Source organism: Homo sapiens, chromosome 15 (assembly GCF_000001405.40).
Source record: "Homo sapiens chromosome 15, GRCh38.p14 Primary Assembly".
NCBI classification, from domain to species: domain Eukaryota; kingdom Metazoa; phylum Chordata; class Mammalia; order Primates; family Hominidae; genus Homo; species Homo sapiens.
In genome coordinates, this window is record NC_000015.10 from 84,458,691 (window position 1) to 84,474,470 (window position 15,780).

A 15,780-nucleotide genomic window follows, 5' to 3' on the forward strand; every position below is an offset into this window, starting at 1 on the left:
CAGAGCGAAACTCTGTCTCAAAAAAAAAAAAAAAAAAGAAAGAAAAAAGAAACAAATGATCAGTGCTGCAAGGAAGAACCAGCACTCAGGAAAAAAAGTTTTCTCAGCAAGACAACTTACTTCTGCAAAAGAGTGCTGTTTGCATTAGTCACGAATGCAAGAGCACACCGAGCGGGATAGAGCAGGAGTTTATATCCCTAACGCAGTCCCTACCTCTCTGTCATTCCCACATGGGCTGGAGTCGGACTACACAATCTAAGCAGACTTGATTTGCTATCGCGAATATTCTCCCTAATAAGGAAGGGAGAGGGAATGTGAGTTACAGGTTGGGACTGATGGGAAGAGTTGTTTACAAGGCAGGTAACTGAGCAGATAACTAAGCAGGTAAATAGGGGTGAGAAGGTACAGGGAAATTGTTCTTAGGAACAAAGAACAAGGAAGTTGAACAGGTTAAACCTTTGAAGAGGAACTTACTGTACCTAATAAGTTTTTTTGATTGGCTAATTAAATGTCTATTCATTATTGCCAAAAAGTGCCTACCCCAACAACAAGATACCAAATTTTAGAAAATGTTGGAGCTCTCTCTGAATCTAGGAGGAAGTGAGTAGTTTAGCTTTTATTTAGTAGTTAGGACCTTAAGTAAATCACTTTTTTTACTGTGTTTCTGTATAACATAGATAATATTTTTTGCCCTGCAAGAGAGCATATAGAGGAAAGCTCTTTGGCAGCGATACTGTGCCCTATGAATAAAAAAGTGATGGTGTCATTTGTGGCTGAATAACAGTTTATTTTGAGAATGCTTTATAACAGCTTTTCATGGGAAATAAAGCAATGCTGTTAACTTCATCTTGCATTTTTCTCATTTTTACTATGATTAAAAAGTAGTCAGCTTGTACAAAGGAAAGAAACAAGCCTTGACTCAGGAGCCTAGGACTTTTTCTTTGGTTTGCCCTCCTGGAACAGATTACCTTTCCAAATTGAATTTGTGGAGGAGCATTGGGAAATATCAGAAATGTCATATTAAGCACCTCAGTGGTACTTTTAATAGAGGAGTTATTCAGAAATTATACTAGGCAGATAGAGAGGGTAAGGAGGCCTCAGTAAGGCTTTCCCTTTTAATAGAAACAACTCCAGAAACATTTCTTTTTCTTTTCTTTTTATCTTTTTTTTGGAGACGGAATCTCGCTCTGTCACCCAGGCTGGAGTGCAGTGGTGTGATCTCAGCTCACTGCAGCCTCTGCCTCCCAGGTTCAAGTGAATCTCCTGCCTCAGCCTCCTGAGTAGCTGGGACTACAGGCTGCCAAGCTTTGATATGCAAATGCCAGCGCTTAGAAACTGTGTCCATTCAACATGGAGATTCCCACCCTCTTCTTCTAGTCACCACCTCAAGGTGACACCTCCAGATGACCCCATGTGTGCAGGACAACATGGTGACCTACATTTGCATATTAAAAGGCTAGGGTGGGAGGGCCACGTTTTTCTCGGGCTACATGAATGACCTGCCTGGTCAAACCAATGCCCTGGGCCCTGTGCAAATCAGACACCACCTCCTCCAGCCTCCCAATATAACCGAGTACTGTTCTGCCACACACGGGGCTTTTTCTCTGTTCAGACCCCCTTTTTCTGTACCGCAGGGAGCCTTTCTTCTTTCTTGTCTATTAAACTTTCTGCTCCTTAAAACCACTCCTGTGTGTCCATGTCGTTTAACTGGCGTGAGACAAAGGACCCCGATGTTTCTCCCGTTTTCAGAGCCATATCACTTTGAGTCCAGAGGAATTATTTTCATTTATCTGACCAATTTATAATATAGGGTCAAATTCCTAGTGGTTATCCTCCCTCATCCCCATTTTTATACCCTTCCTTGAAAGGAACAGGTATATGAAGAGGAGACAGGTTTCCCTTTTGTGAATAGTATATCCCTTAGTATCTTGAATTTTTTTTGGTGGGGGTGGGGGGAGTTAAACTTACTTAGACCTGGTAAAGGGCAGTATTTGATAAATGTCAGCTAGTTTAGGGTTAGGGAATTGAGTTGAATGGAGATAGTCACTGCCAAATGTAAAGCATGACTGGAGAGCCACAGTGATGAAGCCAGGGTCCCTTTCTCCAGATCCTTTGTAACAGTGTTATGTGATCTCTTCTAGAAGATTGTTCTGAAAGATAATGCCAACTCGGAACCTAGGAAACCATCCAGTGGGTTTCTGCAGCTTAGGTGGTTCAAATCCTCATCAGCACGTTTGTTTTCTCTGCCTCAGTTTGCTTACAGTGATGTTCTCAGTAGCTGTAATTGCTGTCTTTGAATACTTAAGCATTTTTTTTTAGCTCACAGGGGTATGTGTGCATTTTTCTTTTACCAAGTGTTAGAACTTTGACTCTGCTTTTGTGGGCTCTGGTTTAGCAACTTGGTTGTTTAGTTGTAAAATGATTAGTAGGGAAAACCGTGTGTGTGTGTGTGTGTGTGTGTGTGTGTGTGTGTGTGTGTGTGTGTATTTTAAGTTTCTTTTGTTCTCAGAGCACTTAGAATTTTATATGGAAATTCTATCAGTTTACTTGATTCTCCACCCCACATTTCTTAAACAGCAAAGTATGAAGGTAATGTGTCCCATAACCAGCCTTCAGAAGAATTACAGCTGCTGTGTCTCTGAACTTTCAAGAAGTTTGTGCATCAATTTTCAAAAAATTATGAAATCCTTGAAGATAGCTGTGTTCTACATTTGGAAAGATACAAAAACTGAACCTTCTAGCAGGCAGTTTTGCTTGCTGGTGCTTGAGATAGAGCCACACATTGGTCTCAGTGGATTTATGGAGAAAAATAGGTACAGAAAGTTATTTCTAAATAAGACCAAAAATCCTTTTCTTAAGCAGTGACAGGTAAAGAGGTTGTCTTGGCTAATATTGAATTGTGTTGCCCTTGATTGAGACAGTTTTATGGTGGGGATGGTAGTGGTGATAAACTTGTTTGAAATTTGTCCACCTATAGTAACCTTTGTGGTAGCTGTCACAGACAGCTTCATCCTCACAGGCCCTAAAATTACTATAAAACTAATAGATTGGAGGAGAAACAAAGGACCTGAATAATTAGATGCTTAGATAATTGTTCTGTGTTTTCATAACAAGTGAAAAAGAGCAGTGTTAGAAGTACTTAAACTTTCCATGTAAGGAGCACTGCCTGAATTTATATTGTGATTTTAGAGCATCATTCACTGTTTAAAAACAGGCATATTGTGGGTCATATTTTAAAGACAAACAGAAAACTTATCTTTTCAAGATGGATCTAAAGCTTAACCTTATCAAAATTACAAAATGTGAAGGATATGATTGAAAAATATTAATGCATAGGTTTAAATATTGGTCATCATTTTAGATGTCTTTCAAAATAGGTTGTCTCTTAAATATTAAACTGAACAAACATTGAACTTGTTGTAGAGTTTGTGCTCAAGGTTAAGTTTCCTGGGGTGATGGATATTTGATAATATGGATAACAAAAAGTTCTTAAGAAATTTAGAAAATTTTTAGGCAAAACTAGAAAATAATACTGATAATTCTACCACTCAGAATGTACCACTATCAGAATTTTGTATCTTTCAGTCATCTGCTCATCTCTTTTCTCCTTTGCTTGTATGTGTTCCCTCTCCCTTAAAAAATCAGATTTTTTTTTGTAATCTGCATTTTCACTCAATATTGTAGATCTGTGTCATAAGTTACTCCTCTACAGTGCCTTCAGTTATTGTGTGCTTTGTGTTGGATGACTGTACCATCTAGTCTTTCGTGTTTCCTGGTACTGACTACATAGGGGTGAGTGTGTGTGTGTGTGTGTGTGTGTGTGTATATTTTTTTTCTACCTTAACTAATGCTTTGGACATCATCAACAGGTAGAGCTAAATCCTTGAAACCTTCCAAGTGGTGGCTTTCAGTTATTGCTGAATTGGTTTTTAGAGATGGAACAAATTATATTGTATGGAAACTTTTTTTTTTTTTTTGAGACAAAGTCTCACCTTGTCACCCAGGCTGGAGGGCAATGGCATGATCTTGGCTCACTAAAACCTCCACCTCCCAGGTTCAAGTGATTCTCTTGCCTCAGCCTCCCGAGTAGTTGGGATTACAGGGGCCTGCCACCATGCCCGGCTAATGTTTGTGTTTTTACTAGAGATGGGGTTTCATCATGTTGGCCAGGCTTGTCTCGAACTCCTGACCTCAGGTGATCCACTCACCTTGGTCTCCCAAAGTACTGGGATTACAGGCATGAGCCACCATACCCAGCCTTTTTTTCTTCTAGGTACCAGCTTTTATTTATCAGATTGGTATAAATGTTAGAAAGCGTGCAATGAAATGGGCATTTTCACAGTCGTGGCAGAAAGTATAATTATCTTTGACTTTCTAGAAAGCAGTCTGGCATTCTAGAAACTTGCCTAACCTCTTCCCATTTAGACAAGATGAGTTCTGACAGGGCCAGCCTTGTCCCTGTGATTCCGTATCTCCCAGAAAGAGAGGTCTAGTGTCAGGGAAAACCCAGATTTTCTTGGCTTAGCCCACCTGACAGCTAATCACTGGAAATGGGGTGGGCCGGTAGAGTCCTTTGGTCAGGTTTTGTGTCAAGAGAGGGATGTGGAAAGATGGGAGAGAGGTAGCAAAACTGGCCTCAATGGAACTATGTAAGTTAACATAGAATGGCAAAGGAATGTTTCTTCCAAGGAAGAAATTCTAGGGAAGGAATAAAGTGGAGGGGAAGGCAGCAGTTCTCAAAGTTTTGGGGTCAGGATTCCTTTACACTCTTAAAAGTATATTGAGGGCCCAAGGAGCTTTTGTGTATGTAGGTTATATCTATTGGTATTTATCACTAGAAATTAAATCAGAAATACTTAAAATATTCCTTAAAAGCTCACAAAATATTGTTATAAATGCTTTTATGATAAGAAAATTTCTAAACCCAAGGTAGTACAGTCTTACGTCCTTTGCAAATTTCTTTGATGTTTGATATGTCATTTGTACCTGCATTCAATTTATTGTGTGATATTTGCTTGAAAAAATGTGAACAAAGGACAGTCTCATACAGATAGGCATTTCAGATCATTATGGATATTTCTTTTTGCTTTCTTTCTTTTTTTTTTTTTTGAGATGGGGTCTTTCTCTGTCTCCCAGGCTGGAATGCAGTGCTATGATCACGGCTCACTGGAGCCTCATTCTCTGGGGACTCAGGTGATCCTCCCACCTCAGCCTCCAGAGTAGCTGGGACTACAGGTGTGTACTACCCCACCTTGCTAATTTTTTGTATTTTTTGTAGAGATAGGGTTTTGCCATAGGTATTCAAATAGAAAGTTTTGTTTTTGTTTTAGTATATAAAGAAATATAACTTTCCATGTTGGAAAAATTTTTAAAACCTTTTTTTAATTTTAAAACTCATAAGCAACCATTGTTGAGAAAATTGGTAAAGTACAGAAAAGATAAAAGAAAAAAATTAAAGTCTCCCATAATTTCTCTATCTAATATAACCACTATTGACTGTTGACATGATGGTCATTTTCTACCAGTATATAGTTTTTCTTTGCTATTAAAATACATAACCCTTACACATATGCTTAATAGTTGAGGTCATATTCTCTATAGTTTTATATTCTTTTTTTTTTTTTTTTTTTTTTTTTTTTTGAGACAGAGTCTTGCTCTGTCACCCAGGCTGGAGTGCAGTGCCGTGATCTCGGCTCACTGCAAGCTCCACCTCCTGGGTTCCCACCATTCTCCTGCCTCAGCCTCCCCAGTAGCTGGGACTACAGGCGCCCGCCACCATTCCCGGCTAATTTTTTGTATTTTTTAGTAGAGATGGGGTTTCACCGTGTTAGCCAGGATGGTCTCGATCTCCTGACCTCATGGTCTGCCCACCTTGGCCTCCCAAAGTGCTGGGATTACAGGCGTGAGCCACTGTGCCTGGCCCTTTTATATTCTTTTAAAAAGTATTTACTGTATTTTCCTGTGATGTCATAGTCTTTATAGAAAATTTATCATTATTTTCAGTTGACATGATTGTTTACCTAAAAATATCCAAAGGAACCAACTGAGAAAAACAATTTTTAAGATTAGTGGTTAAAAGTTCTTTTATATAAAAATCAATAGCCTTCCCCAGTGTTAGCTATAATCACGTAGAAGATATAGTGATGAAGTATTTTTTCAGGTATTTCAGCAAAAATTAAATACCTAGGAATAAACTTAGATGTGCAGGACTTTTATCAAGGACAGGACAAAATTTTGCTGAGTGGAATGAAAGATTTGCATTCTATGTTCCTGGATGAGCAGATTTCATGTTATAAATATGTTAGTTATCACCATGTCTTCATATTAATTTGTAAATGTAATTTCTGCTGGGCACAGTGGCTCATACCTGTAATCCAAACAGTTTGGGAAGCTGAGGCGGGTAGATGACAATTAGCTGGGTGTCTGTGGCACACACTTGTATTTCCAACTACTTCTGAGGCTGAGGTGGGAGGAGCACTTGAGCCTGGGAGGCAGAGGTTGCAGTGAGCCGAGATCATGCCTCTGAACTCCAGCCTAGGTGACAGAGTGAGACCCTGTCTCAAAAAAAAAAAAAAAAAGAACTAGAAAAGTGTGTGTGTATATATATATATATTTCATATTTTATAAATATTTATATATATAAATTGTATATATACATTTTATATTTTATATATAGTGTGTGTGTATTATATATATACACACACACAAATTTCAGTACAAATTCTGGCAGATTTATTTTTGACACTTGACAAAACGACTCTAAAATTTGTTTAGAAGAATAAGTAATAAAAAGTAATAAAGTATAGACTCTTTCAACCAGATAGTAAATAAAATATTGTGGACTATCCCTGGGCCAGACAGATAAAGGCAATGGAAGTTTAGAACCAGAGTCATGCAAACGAGAATTTAGTATAAGGAAAAGGTGGTATTTTAACTTAATACTGAAAAGATAGATTATTCTGTAAATGGTTTTAGGAGAACTATTTGAGGAAGTCTGAGTCTTAACTCCAATTTTTGTCAAAATAAGTTAGTTGGTTTAAACACATCTATTCTTAAAAATTAGAACAGAAGAATATTGGTTTGAAGATATTTTAAGAGTTAAGGCTGAGGCTGGGCACAGTGGTTCACGCCTGTAATCCCAGCACTTTGCGAGGCCAAGGTGGGAGGATTGCTTGAGCCCAGGAGTTTGAGATCAGCCTGGGCAACACAGCAAGACTCTTTCTCTCTCTCTCTCTCTCGATATAGATATACATATAAATATACGTATACAAATAGAAAAAAAAAAGAGTTAAGTTTTGTATGGAGAGCCATGAAGATAAGAGGTAAAAATTAAAGGCTTGATGGACACATGTTTACATCTCCATCAAGGGGGTTGATGGGAAAGAATGATAGACATAGCTCCATTACTGCTACCTCCTTTTAGGAAGTTGCTTCTGAACATCTAAAGATATCAGTTTTATAATAGAAATGAGTTATTTTTCAGTGTCTAAAACATCACATGAGATACATACATACATGCATACATACATAAATATGTTCATAAAGTTAAATGAAATAGGATATAAAATTGGGCCTAGTGTTTAAAAGGTAAATATATTTACATGAAGGAGAAAACAACTCACCTCCCACTCTTAGAGCCTCTGCCAGTTTATCATAGCCTAGTTTCTTGAGAGAATAAGCTACATGTCTTCACCTTTTTTCACTGAGCTCATTATACTCTGGATTCTGCCTTCATCGTTGCACTAAAATTTATCTCCTAGTTGTCAAATCCAGTGGCTCCCCTCTTAGTCCCCAAATTGACCCCTCTGCAGTATTTTGATACTGTTGATTGTTCCTTTGTTGAAACATTCCTCCATTCTTAATGTCCACCAATAAAGAGTTGGTTAAATAAAAATTATAGTGTACCGTTTTATAATAGAATATTCTGTTGTTCTGTTGTGGACCAAAAAATGCAGCCAGTCTTTCCATAAGAGCACGTGCAAACTTCTAAGATATATTAAGTAAAAAAGTAAGGCATAAAATATTGTGTATAATCTGACCCCTTTAGTACACAGTGTAAAAACATCTGTGTCTGTGCTTCTTTATACTTACTTTTTTCTCCCCTGGTGAATACAGGAAACTGTGAATAGTACAACACAATTAAAAAAAAAAAAACTGTGTGTCTGCTGCACCAGGACCTGTGATAATTGGGTATAAAAGACAAAAAAGACATGTCCCTGTCCTCTGGGAAGGGACATGATAATCAAATGAGACTTCTGTCGGATTCTTTTCTCCTGTTTTGATCTTATCACCCTTTCTTGGTCTCCTCCGATCTCTTCTTCCTTGTCCTACTTCTTCTCTTCTCATTCTGTGCTTTCTCTGAGTAATCTTTGACTCCCATTACTTAAGTCATGACCTGTGTTCCAGGGACTCCTAAATTTGTATTCATCTCCAGAGTTTCAAACCCATATATCTGTCTGTATATCATATATTTAGGGAATCTCACTTGGAGTGACATGGGTGTTCAAAATGATGATATTTAAATTTTCACGTATCCATCTCCTAGCACTCTATCTAGTCACATATGCCTAAACCTGGGAACTGTCTTAATATTCTTTTATATACACCTGTTCTGACCTCCCCCCAAAACTAGTAAATTTCTAAGACCTGTCCTTCTGAATGTCTCTTACAATTTTTCCTGTGATCTCAGTTTCTTCCTCCCATCCCTCAAATGCTTTGTGTGTGTGTGTGGTGGGGGAAGAGAGTAAAATTGAAATTTGTGGAAAACGTACTAGCCTGTCTGTCTGTCTTTCGAGGTGAAGTCTCCCTCTTGTCCCCCTGGCTGGAGTGCAATGGCACAATCTTGGCTTACTGCAACCTCCATCTCCTGGGTTCAAGCAATTCTCCTGCCTCAGCCTCCTGAGTAGCTGGGATTACAGGCACCTGCCACCATGCCCAGCTAATTTTTGTGTTTTTAGTAGAGATGGGGTTTCATCATGTTGGCCAGGCTGGTCTCGAACTCCTGACCTCAGGTGATCCACCCGCCTTGGCCTCCCAAATTGCTGGGATTACAGGTGTGAGCCACCATGCCTGGCCACTACCCTGTCTTGTTGCTTGGTATGACTCCACTACCCTGCTGCCTCTCTCCCCGTACAGCAGCATAATTTAGGAATCAGAGAGACTGAGGAGGATATATATTATTAGGTGCACTGGCCCAGTCAGATTAACATCTAAAGGACTGAGCCCTGAACAAAGAGTCAGGTTACCTTTTAAGCATTTTGTGTCGGTCATTATGCCGACAAGGTGTCCGCACTAAGTTCAGTATCAGTATGGTGACCTCCTGGGAACAGGGGGCCATCGGGTTGCCTAAGGATGGGAGAACTGGCTCAGGTCAGAAGGGGAGCAGGTCAGAATTCCTGCGCCAATCGGTAGTGGGACTGTGCCTGGGCAATATAGCAAGATCTTGGTTCTTAAAATTCAAAATAAAGAACAGCTCATTCCCCTCTGGGGAGGGGCTGGCTCAAGGTTACACAGTGAGTGTGGGGGCAGAGGCGGGCCCACTGTACCTCCCTTGTTGGGTTGTCTGAGGACCCCTCTGGCCACCCCCCACAGGAGATGGAGGAGGACATCTGGACAGTGAGCAGGAGGCGCCTCGGCCCATGCCGAACATCCCAGGGGACCTGGAGAGCCGGGAGGCCATGGTGAGCCTGACTTTCCCTGCCCCTACTTTGCCACCTTCCTCTGTGGTCCCTCCGAAACCCCCTTATGTTCTTGGTTTCCCCGCCTTCTGACTTCTGTGGACTTTCACTCCTCCTGGGAGCCAGTGGTCAGACACCATTTCACCTGTGACCAACAGGTGCACTCTGTGAGGCCCGAAAGGAAGGGGCTATGCTCCATCTGCCTGCCCCAGTTGTTATGTGTATACCCCTACAAGAATACTCACCTCTTGTCTTCAGGTGGCATTTTTCAACTCCGCTGGAGCCAGTGCCCAGGAGGAACAAAGTCCCAGAAGAAGCCAGAGGTAGCGGCCCCAGCCCCAGAGAGTGGGGGTGAGTCTGTGTTTGGGGAGACCCACCGGGCCCTGCAGGGGGCCATGGAGAAGCTGCAGGTGAGTAGGTCCTGGCATGGGCCAACAAGGGGGGCGGGGGGGCAGGACAAGGCAGGTGACTCCTGACATGTGACCCCATTATTTTGGCTCCACAGCGACTTTATGGAAGGAGAAGGTGGACCTGAAGGAGCGGGTAGAGAAACTAGAGCTTCAATTCATCCACCTCTCAGGACAGACAGACACCATAGTGAGCGAGAGGCTAGGGCACCGCTGGGGGGAGCTGCCAGGCCATCCGAGGGGCCCCAGCATCTGAGCCATGTCCTCCTGCAGGAAAGTACATCAGCCAGGGGGCAGTGTCAGAGACGCAGCACTGGGAGAGGAGGACATCGTCAGGCTGGCCCAGGACCAGGAGGAGATGAAGGTAGGGTGTGCAACATCTCGGTGGGGGTGGGGGTGGAGGTGGGGGTGAACGTGCGTGCCGGCACCGGCATGGCAGCTAACACCCCTTCCTCCAGGTGAACCTGCAGGAGCTGCGGGGCAGGTGTTGCAGCTTGTGGGCGACCACAAGGAGGGGCATGGCAAATTTTGACCATTGCCCAGAACCCTGCTGATGAGCCCACTCTAGGAGCCCCAGTAGCCCAGGAGCTTGGGTGTGCTGACGAGCAGGGTGGTGAGTAGAGCCCTCAGGTGGGGTGGGCAGGCAGGAGCAGGGGAGGCTCGCACTGTGCTCAGATTCCCACCCCCCTCCCTCTCTCTGAAGATCTTTGTGAGGTGAGCCTCACTGATAGCGTGGAGGCTGCACCAGGAGAGGACAGGGAGGGTTCTCCCCACGACAACCCCACTGCACAGCAGATCCAGCAGCTGCTTCCTGTAATGCAGGACTCCCCAGGAGCACCCAGGCATGGGCAGCAACCCCTGCATGCCATTCTTTTTGGGCTCCCGAGAACAGGGAGATAAACACCACCATCATCTGAGAGCCGGGAAGGGGAAGGCGTAGGTGTGGGCGTGGCAAGGTTCCTGGAAAAGAGGGGCTGGAAGGGAAAGGGGAGGAAGATGGAGGGAGAAGCTAGAGCTTCATAGGTAGTGCCTGGGGGCTGTGGCAGCCCTCCCCACCCCACACACACTGGCCTCTCTCATGGCACCCAGGCAGTCCACCCACAGTTCAGACCAATGCTCAACTCCCCCGGCTTCCCTCTTCTGTGGTCACCCCATCTTCCAACCCACTGGCCCAGGGCCACCTCTTGCTTGGGGAGCCCCACCCAACAGCCACCAAGCCTGACAGAAGGAACACTGCTTGAACCAAAATGGTGAAGCTATAAGGGATGGCGGGCTGGAGTGAGCGCCAGAGGCCCCTCTCTGGGCAGTCAGAAAGCCCAGGGTCCACTGAAGGGACCCTGGGGAAGGCAGGGAGGGCAGGTAGCTAGATGCCACTGCCCGTAGACTTATAAGTCTAAGAGGGGAGCCTCAACTGGTTGGCGGGGGGCTGCAGGTTGCATAGGTGAGGCTGGGCCCTTCCTGCTGGGAAAAGCAGAAGAGGGAGACTCCGTGGCAGGAAAGGCAGGTGGGCTCGCTAGGCGGAGCTCAGCTGGGCCAGCAAGCACTGTGGTCTCCTTGGCTGAATAGCACAGGTGACCCCTAGGAGCAACAGGCCAAGGTCCGTGAGTCTGCTGGCTGGCAGTAGTGCTTCAGTAGCGCTGGCCAGGGACCCAGCCTTCAGTCACACGCTAGCAGCTGTGATGGTACCTGGGAGGGAGGGAAGGGGGCTGTGTGTCCTTGCATGGCCTATGAAGTGTGTTGTGGGATAACCGTGTGTATTGGACTCTCAGGCTTTTATCCTAGATCACCACTGGATTGCTGACAGATAGAGGAGGTGGGACCCTGACTATCACCCCTAATCTGCAGTGGATTTGGCTCTCGGCACTCCCAGGCTGGGAGCTGGATACCTGCCCTGGCAGCATGGCTCAGACTGCATGACAGGTACGGCGTGCCCAGGATGATGTGCCCAGGCCTCTGGCCGCCTGAGTCCAGCCCCCCACACAACCCCCTCCAAGCTCCCAGCCCCTACACCATAAACCATGAGCTCTGTGCCCTCTCTGATGGTTCCACATCTGCCACCTTCGGCATGGAGCCTGTTGTAAGAGCCCCCAGGCTCAGCCATGGAGACCTTGAGCAGTGGCACTGAGTCCTGTGGCTGGCAGGGAGGGAAGTGAGACAGCCAGCAGCACAAGGACAGAAAGAGGAAAGAGCAAGTCTGCAGCTCTAGAAGGGAGGGGCAGGCAGCCTGGCTCTGAGGCTCCAGGTATGCCCCCTGTGTGGAGCTGGGGCAGCGGGGCAGGCAGACCATTCATGCAGCAGGCAGTGAGGCATGTACCTACCATGGCTGATGCTCCTCAGGGGCCACTGATAGTGATTCTGAAAGACAGCATCAAATCACATGGCAGGTCCCATGCATGGGTGGGGCAGGCCTGGGGGTGGCGGACACACGCACACGCCAGATTGTGCACACACATGCTGTGAGGCCCCACGGCCCGCATGCACACTCTAACACATGCCCACAAACAACACGCATACGTCGCCCTCTCCGCCACCTCCCGGTGCCCAGCACCCTCACCGGCCGGCACGTGCCGCATGGATCTGGGGCGTGCAGCCACTCGGCACACTGAAGCACATGCGTGGGCAGAGTCACAACACAGATGCTCACCCGCACACAGAGGCATTTGCACCAGCTCCCTGCACACTCGTGCCTGGCGTGCTCAGAGGACCACCCATGCTGCTCAGGGAGACAGGGCTTGCTCACTAATGTCCGGCTGTCATTTCTCCACCTAAGAGCCTTCCATGGCTCCCTACTGCCTACAGCATTGAATCCCAACAAGTCATACTCTTTGGACTTTGAAGGTTCTCCACCCTGTGCCCCACCCTCCCCACAGAGCTCTTCATTCTGTCTCTGTTCCCTGCTTTGGCCAGTGGCTATCCTCATTGTGACCCACACTACACCTCTGCCCACACTGCAGCTCTTTACCCAGTTACCCTCCAGTTCCTCACAACGTATGCCTATCTCCGTCATGCCCCAGACTGCATTGAAGCCAGGCTGCCTTGAAGAAGCTCTCCCAGACTGCCCTTTTCCCCAAGGCAGGGTCATGATTTGCCAAAGGTTTCGTGTGTGTGTTAGCAAGACTGGAGTCAGAGCAGGCATCAAACTTTACATCCCATATGTCACACCTCACCATAGACCTGGGTGCCAAATAGCCTGAACAGTCTGAACTCACGTTGGCAGTTAGGAAAGTGCTCCTACAGACGCATCTACGGTTAACATAGCATCCCTATGGCCACTGTCTCCCTTGATCCCCACAGCCATTCTAGGAGAAAGGCAGAATGTCATAATTTGCTAAAAGGGATGCTGAGGCTCTGGGAGGGAAAGGGACTTGCCTAAAGCCCCAGGGTGAAGCAGCATCTCTGGACTCCCAGTCCAGTGATCTTGCCCAATACTTTGCTGCTTGCCTATACCCCTCTAACTTGGTCAACAGCACATCACAGGGCAAGCCCCAATCCCTGCTTCATTTTTATATATGGGCGCTGGTCCCACAGCCCCACTCTCCAGCCATTTGGAAACAAAAACAGATGCTATTGTTCTTCCTTAGAGAACGTGGCCAGTGGAGACGGCACACTGGAAATCAGAGTGAATGTTCTTGAAAGAGGGTCACGGGTCAACAAGGCCCAGCCAAAGGATGCAGTAGAACCATTTTCCTTAGAAATCTTTGGGAGTGAAGTAGGCTTCAGCCACTCCCATCCCTGCCCTTGCGGCTACCACTACCCCATTAGTTTAGACAGGGTCGGGCGGGGAGGGGTGTGGAGAAGAAATGAGCTTGCCTGTGGCCCCCAGGCTCCCTCTGTCCTAGCTCAGGTCTGGGTGCCATTCTTTACACTCGTGTGCTCGCTCACGCACACATCACACACCTTGCTGGTCACACAGTCACAGACTCGCCTCTGCTCCTGTGGTCCAGTGGCCGGACACCCCCTGGGATGGCTCAAAGGAGTCAGGACTTGGAAGTGGGGACATCAGGGTAGCTGAAGGAAATCCACACACCCAGAGCATCTCGGAGTTCAGACTCTCAGACCTGAAGTAGGCGCCCCCGGGACTGGGCTAGGAGTTGGACGGAATGGAGGATGGAGGACAGCGAGAAGAAAGGAAGAGAAATGCAAAGTGTGGGCAGCCGCCAAGAGTGAAAATAGAGGGAAGTGTCATGCAAGTGCTGGACAGAAGGCGGCAGGTGGGACGAGCCCCACAGCCCCCTCCTCAAAAACGACCACCTCCAGGACTCAGTGATCCCTGGGGGGCAGGCTCTGCCAGCCCTCGGCCACACGTGGCTCCGGCACCCATGGTCCCAGTGCCTTGGATGGAGACGGCCAGTTCTGGCGGCCAGATGTGGTGCTCTGGAATCCAGTCCCATTTCCTTCCTGGCCACGCCTGTCCAGCGGCCTCTTTGGCTGCATTCAGCCCCTACTTACCTGGGGACCCCGGCTGGGGCACAAGAGCACCAGGGGGGTAGGGCCCAAAGGGATCAGGGGAAGCCTCTGGCCTGGAGGGTATGGGGCACACTTCCCCAAGGGCGGACCCAGCAGGAGGAAGCCCAGGAGCTGGGTCCTGCCGCCCAGGAGCTGGGCCCTGCCACCCAGGCCGGGCTAGGGACATGGCAGGGCCTGGGCATCCTGGCGCTGGACTTGGGCGACCTGGGAGGCACAGGGAGGGGAGAGATGGGCGGCCCCGCCCCAGCGCAGTGCCGGCCACACCCATGCACCGAAGCTCCTCCCTGCCACACCCCAAGGCGGTTGCCGGAGCTTAAGCCCCGCCCCCAGCAGCGAGAACATCCCACCCCCCCCCCCCTGCAGCCAGTGCTCCTTGTCAAGCTCCCCCCGTCACTCCAGGTGGGAGCCACCCCGGTGAGGGGGTGTGCCACTTGTCCCCAGGGCACTCCTCTGGGCATCCCGGGTGGGGGATTTTGGGGCCGTGGGGGGCAGTCTCTGGTACCTGTGTGCGTCAGGGATGCTCTGCACCTGCAACCAGGTGTCGTCCACGGGCGGGGGCATGGTAACAGTGGTCCTGTTGATGTCACCGATGATGCTGAGCGCCTCCTTCAGCGCGTGGTGCATGTGCAGCATCTCGTCGTGCTGCTGTGCCTGCTCTGCCAACTCCTCCATCAGTGTGTTCTGGTTCCCACATGAGTACATATTGGCCAGCGGCTCCGAGATGATGAACTCCGGGGTCTGAGAGTGGGCAAACAGGGAAGAAGGTTGGGACCTGGTGCCTGTGCCGCCCTGGCTGCCTTGCTGGGCCCTTCTGGGACTGTGCGCTGGACTTGGAGCCCCTTGGAGTATGGCTTTTCACACGGGCTTCTATACCGCTTCGACTGGAAGATCCACCTCCCCACTGCCTTTTCTCACTCAGATGGGGACACCGAGGTCCAGAGGAAAAGACACCTGTCAAATGTCACAGATCTGGGAGGGGACTTAAGACCTATCATGCCAAGAGGACACCTGTCTACTCAGTTTTTTTTTGGTGGGGCGGGGGGGCGGTGATAGGGTCTCGCTCTGTCACCAGGCTGGAGTACAGTGATGACTGCTCACTGCAGCCTCCACCTCCTGGGCTCAAAGTGATCCTCCAACGTCAGCCTCTCGAGTAGCTAGGACTACAGGCACATGCCACCACCAAGCCCAGCTATTTTTAAAATTTTTGTGTGGAGACAAGGTCTCACTAT

General features: G+C 47.2%; 1 pseudogene across 1 annotated transcript in view; it reads left to right on the plus strand.

Annotated features, from left to right (window-relative positions):
- The window catches only part of LOC102724135 (uncharacterized), a 30,800-nt pseudogene extending 15,245 nt beyond the window's left edge, over positions 1 to 15,555 (plus strand). Inside the window, exons 2-6 of the transcript NR_158192.1 lie at positions 9,592 to 9,680; positions 9,936 to 10,087; positions 10,358 to 10,697; positions 11,854 to 12,004; positions 13,998 to 15,555. The product of NR_158192.1 is annotated as an uncharacterized LOC102724135 (transcript). The remainder of the gene's footprint in view (positions 1 to 9,591; positions 9,681 to 9,935; positions 10,088 to 10,357; positions 10,698 to 11,853; positions 12,005 to 13,997) is intronic.
- The last annotated feature ends 225 nt before the right edge of the window (positions 15,556 to 15,780 follow it).